The sequence below is a fragment of the Homo sapiens genome, chromosome 5 (genome assembly GCF_000001405.40).
Source record: "Homo sapiens chromosome 5, GRCh38.p14 Primary Assembly".
Classification (NCBI taxonomy): Eukaryota; Metazoa; Chordata; class Mammalia; order Primates; family Hominidae; genus Homo; species Homo sapiens.
This window is the reverse complement of record NC_000005.10, coordinates 5,938,462-5,947,075: the sequence shown is the minus strand read 5'-3', so window position 1 is coordinate 5,947,075 and position 8,614 is coordinate 5,938,462. Positions and strand designations below refer to the sequence as shown.

The 8,614-nt window shown below is 39.1% G+C and overlaps 1 annotated feature.

The window, feature by feature from the left end:
• Window positions 2,797–3,996: an enhancer, noted in NCBI's record as "BRD4-independent group 4 enhancer chr5:5943193-5944392 (GRCh37/hg19 assembly coordinates)". NCBI's record gives its function as "activates an origin of replication core promoter dependent on BRD2, P300/CBP, MED14 and CDK7 cofactors, and independent of BRD4, by STARR-seq in HCT116 cells {active_cell/tissue: HCT116}" and the evidence as "EXISTENCE:reporter gene assay evidence [ECO:0000049][PMID:35650434]".

The following is an 8,614-nucleotide window of genomic DNA, read 5'->3' as shown; positions in this document are numbered from 1 at the left end:
ATCTCTCCTCCAAAAGTAGAAGACAGTAGGAATGAAGGCACTTCTAAATTCATTCTATGAGACCAATATTATCCTGATATCAAACTCAGAAAGAAAATCTTAAGAATGTAGATGGAAAAATCCTCATAAAACACTGGCAAACTGGATCCAGAAATATATAAAAAGAATTTCACATAATGATCAATGGGATTTACCTAGAAATGTAAGATTTGTTTAACGTAAGAAATTCAATTAATGCTGTTGATATATTGAATAAAGACAAAATCCCACATGATCTTGTCAATAGATACAGAGAAAACCCTTGACAAAATACAACACCCCTTCATGATTACAACATTCAAATAACTGGGAATTGAAGGCAACTTTTTCAACTTGATAAAGGGCATCTGTGAGAAACCCACACATAGCATCACACTTAACAGTGAAACACTGAATTCCTTCCCTTTAAGATCAAGAACAGAACAAGAACATCTATTCTCACCACTTTCATTCAACATTATATGAGAGGTCCTAGCCAAGAGAGTTGCATAAGAAAATGACCTATAATGCATCCAGATTAAAAAGAAGTAAAACTGTCTCTGTTTGAAGATGACATTATCTTGTATATACTAAATCCTAAGAAATCCACTAAAAGCTATTGAAATAAATGAGTTCAGCAAGGATGTAGGATACAAGCTTCATATACAAGAATCAATTTTATTTATACACACTTTCAATGAACAATCTTAAAATAAATTTAAAAATTCAATTTACACTAGTATTATAAAAAATAAAATGCTTATAAAATTATCAAAGGAAATCTAAAACTTATATTCTGAAAACTATAAAACATTATTGAAAGAAATTAAAGAAGACCTAAATAATTGGGAAACATCCCATGATCATGGGTCAGAAGACTTAATATTGTTAAGATGTAATATTTCTCAAATTGAGCCACACAATCAATAAATCCCTATCAAAATTCTACCTGGGTTTTTGGGGAATTCAGAAAGCTTCTCCTAAAATTCATATGGAAATTCTAGGAACCCAGAATATCCAAAACAATCTTGTATTGTAAGAGAACAATTCCCAATTTTAAATCTTAATACAATGCTATAGTAATCAAGACAAGTAATCAATGAAGTAGAATTAAGAGTCCAAAAAACCCTAACACATGTTGTCAATTGCTTTTTCAATGAGTGCAAGGCAACTTAAGAAGGAGACAATGGTATTTAACAAATGATTCTGAGACAACTGGATCTCTACATGCAAAAGAATGAATTTGGATCCCCATCTCATATATATAAAATATATGAACTCAAGATGAATCAAAGCCCTGAAGGTAAGAGCTAAAACTACAAAACCTTTAGAAGAAACATGATCTCGCACTAGGAAATAGTTTCTTATATATCACACCAAAAGCATAAACAGCAAAAGAAAAAAATAGATTAATTGTATTTTGTTAAAATTTAAAACACTTTTGCTTTGAAAGATGCTGTCAATAAAGTAAAAACAAAAAAAGAACCTGCAGAAAGAGAAAACGTTTGTAATTTATATATGTGACAAAGGACTTCTATATAGAATACGTTTAATAAAAAACACATAACTCAAGAATAAGAAGATAAATAACTCAATTTTTAAAATGGACAAAGTATTCCAGTAGAATTTTCTCCAAAGAAGACATACAAATGGCCAACATCCAAATGAAAAGACGCTCAACATCATTAGCTGTCAGAGAATGCAAATAAAAACCACTTTATACTCACGAGAATGGCTATAATTAAAAAAACATAATAATTATGAGTAAGAATATGGAGAAATTGGAATCTTCATTCACCATTGTGCATTGGGGAATGTACAACAGCAGACATCTGGCAGTTTCTTAAGAAGTGATGGATAGGTATATACCCAATACAAATAAAAATATATCCACTCAGAAACTTGTACATGAGTGTTCACAGCAGCATTATTTATAATCACCAAAAAGTGAAAACAACCTGAATGTTCATCAATTGATGAATGGTTACATAAAATGTGATGTATCTTTACAGCAGAATATTACTCAGCAACAAAATAAATGAAAGACAGAAGCAGGCTACGACAGGAATGAACCTTGAAAACATTATGCTAAATGAAAGAAGCGAGTCATGAAAGACCACCTACTTCATGATAAAACTTAACAAATTTCCAGCAGATACAAATCTATAGAAACAAAAAGTAGATTAATGGCCACCTAGGGATGAGTTGGGGGAGGCTGGGGAAGAATGAGAAGTGACTGATCATGGATACAGCTTTTCTTTTTGGGGTGGTGATAACTTCCTAAAGTTGATTGTGGCGATGGTTGCCCAACTCTGAGTGTACTAAACACTATTGAATTATACACTTTAAATGAGAGAATTGTATAGTAAATGAGTTATATCTCAATAAAAAATACTAAATATCAGGAATCTCACCTGACTTTCAAACCTTTCATCTCATTTCCTGTCTCAAATATACAAATTCTACCTCCATTGAACTAAGTGCAAATTGTAACCTATTTATTTAAGGAATTAAATCCCATTATGTGACTCTCAGAAGTAACTGTCTAAGTAAGGTTTATGGGGTTTCACCTATCAATGGGAGTTATATTTAAGAAGGAGCTTTCAAAGAAATAGAAAGCTTGACAAACCAGTTTCTGCCTGTTTAATGGTAGAAAGTCAGCCATTACCAGAATGATTGGGAGTGAAAAATAGAAGCTTCCTCAATTCAGGGCACTGATTTGCAAGGCCAGCTCTATGACAGAAGAGAATTAAACCAAACACCCCTTTCTAGACCCCCTGGATCATTCATATGGTGCCAGTTAAATGCCAGTTCAGGTTTTAGGATGTTGGCTGGCTTCTATAGCACCTGTGAAGTTATCCTCTCTCAAATTTGGTTGATTGTCATCTGGGAGGACCCTTGGCTTGTTCTGATCATTTCTTCCCGGTCCTAGTGTTTCAGAAGGATGAACTCCATGTCTGCGTGTCTGGCACCACAGTGGACCTGGGGCCTGGGCCAGATCCACAGGCAATCCTGACAGGTAGAAATGCTACTTTTTTTTCTTGTAGCCTTCTCTGCCTTTGGAAAGACTTGCGGAAAAGTCTGAAGTCCTACATAAAGATGGAAAGACACTACAAATTTACATTTTCGTTTGCTTTTTTTGTATATTGAATACTCAAAAATCAAATGGTTGAATAATTTCTAAACAAAGATCTCTAAGTTCCTGCAGCTTTAATTCGTTTACTGACTTGATGTTGCTGTCACCATGTGCTCCATAACAGCTCTCATGGCGCTGGTGAAAATGCCTTTTCTTCTGGAACCCTGAAACATAAGCTGCTGTCACACTTCACGTAGGCCGTTTCCTGAGACTGCATTACGTTATGATGTGGGCCCAGGTAACAGATAAAGGAAACAGTAATAGCAACTATCTTTTTCTCACTCCCACATGCAGAGCAAGCAATGATGAAAACAAGCAGCAAAGATTTAAACTTCTGCAATGTCTCACAAATAGCAAGTGAAGAGGGGTTTGTTGATTTTAAAGAAAAGATCAGAGAACTGAAGCCTTGTGTTTGATTCCTATGCAAGACCCAGAGAGGCATGGCTTCTCCCTGAAGGCCCGGAATATTGGGAAGAGTGGCATTTACCTGGCCTCTGGGCACGCTGGTCTCCCCTGCTTATTCTTCCAGGATACAGGACAACCAGGACATTTCAAGGGGAAAATAAAATGAAACACAATACTAACCTGTTTAGGTGTTTGTGAGAGCTTTTTATCTAGAAGTTTCCTCAGATGGTAAAAGAGTTATCTTATTATAAATAGAACTTAGAAATATGTCTCAGCAACACTAGTGAAAACCAGTTAATACTGAATGTTGAAACGTAACCATTGTTTAAGGAATTTCATTTTCTTCTGTCATAGTGATGGAGGATGTGGCATATAAGCCCATTTGCTTAGCAGAGCACAATTTTGTTTTCATGTGCTACATGTGCAATAGGGATATATAAAAATAGAGCTTTACGGAGGAGAGTCTTTAGAGCATTTGGCCTGCTGAAATTGGTGCTTTCTCCTCATTTTTCCTCTGAAGAAAATAGACATTTGATTTATACTTGCTTTGTTGAATTTCACCGGGCTCCCTCTTCCGCCCCCTCATCTCTACTTCCTGTGAACTCGGGCTCCATTCATCTCAAGGAATATTCTCAGACAGATGGGATACGTGCTGTGTGGCCATGGTCCTCCTAGGTGGTCAGGGAAAGCCCAGTGGAACCCAAGACCTTGGGAACCTTTATGGGATAAACATGGGCTGGAATTAAATTGTAATGCCATGTTCATTCTTTCCCCTGTTCTCCCTCTATAGCTGGATTGTTAAAACGTTATATAACATCATTGTATTGCCAAATAAAAAACTGGGTAGTATTTCAATTGGACTTTTTTTGCCTCTGCTAATACTGAATTAATAATTATCCATAACACGAAGAAAAAATAAATGTGTCTAGTGTTCTATATAATATTCAAAGTAATAAATGCAAAGTGTTTATCTCACAATAATTTAAATTTATTCCTAAGCAAAGTACTTCTAATTTTCTCACTAGAATCATACCTTCAGTCCCCAACAGCATCACGATTCCTTGACAAAACTTCTTTCATCAGAGATACACCTGGAACAAGACTGGGAGGTGCATTTAGAACAGAGAGATGTTTTCCATCCCAACATGTCAAGTTCAGAGCTCAGCGCACCCAGGCATGTGCCTTAGAGGCTGGTCTAAGGAAACCTTCCTGATTGAAGGCTTTGAAGTCATCACTTGTTTTTTTGTTTTTTTTTACAGAGTAGATATGCAAAGCATTTGAAGAATTCAGTTTTGCGATCGGTGGATTTTAATGGGGTGGCACATGCCTTCCTCACATAAAAATCTCCTCAGCCTCTCTCACCACAAGTCTATCCATCACAGGCTTCTACATCCTGTGGCTTGCCCTCTGACAGAGAAGACAGCACTCGAACTTGCACAACATCAAGCTCTGTAATTGTATAAACCTCATTTTTATATTATTAAGATTTCCTATAACAGTCTTTTCAATGCATCTCTCATTAAACTAAGTAGTGGTGAATCTGGAAAAAGTGTGAACTGTGTTATGTCTCACAACACAGCTGTCATTGCACCTTTAAAAGGTGTTCTTAGCAATTACTTTGCCCAAGAAGCCCAGGAGGAAAGAGTGGAGCCTCAGTTATGTATTACATCGATGATGTTGACATGATGCCTCCCAGCCAGAAGCCAGGTGGCCAGCCTGGTATTTGCTGCTAAGGCTACATAGCCCAAAGCCTTGAGCGAATGGGCTCCCTACCCTCCTTAAGTCATCTTGCTTTTACAGCTCAGGAAGCAAGCTCTAGCAGAGCAAAGCAGCACAATCTAAGGCCATGTGACTGGAGCCGGTGGAATCTGAGCAGAAGGCAACTCCAGATCCCAGTGTGCACATTCGTGTCCATCTGCCAGTGGCACTGTGGAAAATGTCAAAGCCTCTTAAAAGTTCACGTTTAAGCTGCCATTGTAGAAAGCTTGAACACCCCTGGTTTACTCAAGTCCCAGTAGTCTGTGGATAATGGAGAGAATTCTTTCTCCACACCAGGGAAGTGCAGTTAGAACAGGTAAATGGCAGGATCTCAAATCAAGCCCCACCTCCAAACACGTCTGCCCATGACACAGATTCTCTAAAAAAAAGCCCACTATTAGAAATGTCTTTCCATGACAGTAATGCATTAAATGATCAAACCTAAAGGCTGCTTTCTTCAATCCATGCTCTTCTGTAATAGGACAATCAGGGGAACTTAGGTTCTGTGGAGAGAGCTGTGTTTTCAACTGAGATTGGAGAGAGCCAGGAGTCCATGCACCAGAGACTCCTAATTGTCTCACTAGAATCACAAGTCCAGCACAGGAGATGAGTATTCTCCAGATCATTAGTATCTCAGAGATCCTCAGCAAACTTTATTTTGTAAAAATCTAACTTAAAATATTTTATTTTTGTATTATATAAAACAAATATCACATTGAGCAAATGGTACAACACTAGATTTAAACATTACTTTAATTGACACTTTTGAATCCCAGGCTCAGAGGAACAAATGTAACAACTTCTTCCTCTCACAATAAGAAACACAAAGGGTCTCTCTCAAGGTCAGAGGCAAATTTGAAGGAGCATGCTGGTTGATCTCACCTGCTCCCATGAAGTCACGTACTGTCAGGTCTTAAGTCTTTCCTGGGCTGTGCTCTTTGGAAGTAGGTACCCTTTGGAAGTGGGTAGGACTGAGGTGGAAAGAATACATGAAACTGGAAAGTTGAGCTGCTGCAGCACTAAGTTAAAATGAAAGGCTGAGACATTGCATCTGAGTTTCATCTTTCTACATATAAGGAAAATGCCTGCTCAAGTTCAGAACAGCAAATCTGCAGCTGACCTGAACCAGCAGTTGGTCTTCTCTGACACCTGAGGGCCCTTTCCTGTGCATTACCTGGCCTCAGATAGTAAGGGGGCCCTGCAAGGAAACCATGGAAGGAAGTGCGTGCTTGGTTACAACCCAGGGGAAACGCAAATGCTGTCAACTTCAAAAGGCTATTTTGGAAGGCAAGGAAGACATTTTGCCATATCTTCATCAATGTATATGTAGCCATGTGTTCTTAGAGGCTAAAGAGAGGGAAAAGTCTCAAGACCCCATGGATTTTCATTGTTTAATCCTATATATAATCATGCAAAATTATATATGTGAATTTACCAAAGAAGAATCTTAGATTTGGATTTGCAGGCAAAGGCCTCATTTTAAATTTGGCACTCTATTCATGAACAAAAACCTTTCTGACTTCTGGTGACTCAGCCTCTATTGAACACTCCCTTCTTAAGGATTATTCAGCCTCTTATAAGTTTTATAATTAACCACTCATATAGAGTCCTTCATGATCCCAGGCACTCAATTTCTGGAGTCCTGCTAATTTGACAATGTTCCTCTTTGGACATGGAGCCCAGAATGACACACGGCTCTGGCTGAGGCATCTCCCTTAGCAATGCTTGTTCCTTGCTTTGCACCCATTGGCCATGGGTCTGACCTAAGTGCACACAGGTCAACCTCTGGGCAGAGTCACTCTGTGTTGTGACTCTTCCTGCTCCAAGGACTTCCTCTTGCTGCCTCGCTTCATAGAGCACTCTGCCCTCACTCACTCTTGACTTATCGCAGCTCAGTTGCCCTGGAGCCCTTCTTGGTTTCTCTCATTAGGTCAGATTTCTGGTTAACACTCTCCCCCGGCCCATGCAACCCGTTTCCTTCAGAGGCACTTTTACAATTGAATGAAGATGTTTGTTCAGTGTCTGTATAGCCTGTGTACTTTCTGAGGGCAGGTTCATGTGTCCCACACCTCCATGTGTCTCCCTGTCCAGCCAATACCTGGAGTGGATCCTAGGCACTTGTGACATGGTGAGGTGGGCACAGGCTCCTCTGTAGGCTTCATGGGCTGCTGAAGCCTCACTGTTGATGAACAACAGTGGACAGTGGGACAGTGTTGCCTCACTCTTGCTCAGACGTAGGAGTGGGATAGTGTCTTAGCTGCCTTGGCTTGTGTTTTAGTCTATTCTGTGACTCTATAACAGAATACTGTAGGCTTAGTGATTTATAATGGACAGAAACTAATTGGCTCATGGTTCTAAAGGCTAGGAAGTCCAAGAGAGAGGGACCAACATCTAGTGAGGGTCTTCTTGCTTATCAAAACATGCAGAAGGTAAGAGGGAAAGAAAGGGTGGGAGAGAGAGAGAAGGGGTCCAGCTCTTCCTTTTATAATAAACCCTCTCCTGAGATAATGAGCTCACTCCCACAACAACAGAATTAACTCATTCATAAGGGCAGGGCCCTAGTTACCTAATCATCTGTTAGAGGTCTCACCTTTCAACACTGTTGCATGGAGACTGCATTTCCAACACATGAATTTTCAGGACATAACAAAGTATTACAAAGTATTATGTCAATCTTTAACAAAGTATTACAAAGTATTATGTCAATCTTTAACAAAGTATTACACTGAGCAAATGATACAACACTAGATTGCACTAGATTGTCATGAAACACTAGATTGCACACTTTGCTCAATGTAATACTTTGTTATTACCACACAACAGACATTTACTTCTCACAGATCTGGAGGCTGGAAGTGCAAGATCAAGTCAAACACCATTCGGTTTCTGATGAGGGCTCTCTTCTTGGCTTGAAGACAGCCACCTTCTAGCTGTGTCAGATAGGCAGGGCAGTAGTCACTGGAAACGTTTGCACCATTTAGTTCAGCAGAACCTGTAGAACCAGGCCTTTTAAAGACTGTTTTGGAGTCAGCTCTCTGTACCAGAGGCTGCAGCCCCCCAGCCCCTGGCTCACCCCCTTCTCTGCCACACACATCCTTTGTGATGATGTTCCTTCTTCTGGGATGGTTCTGCAAAGACAGAAGAATCCAGAGCAACCACACAGAAAATGGAACACAAGGGACTGAGTGCCCACCCCATCATGCTGTTTTTGCAGGAAGCACATTTTCCCAATGCAGTGTTTTATTTCTGCTAAGGCTGAGGCTGATAAATTTATCCCTTTTCTAAGAAAAAAATTTT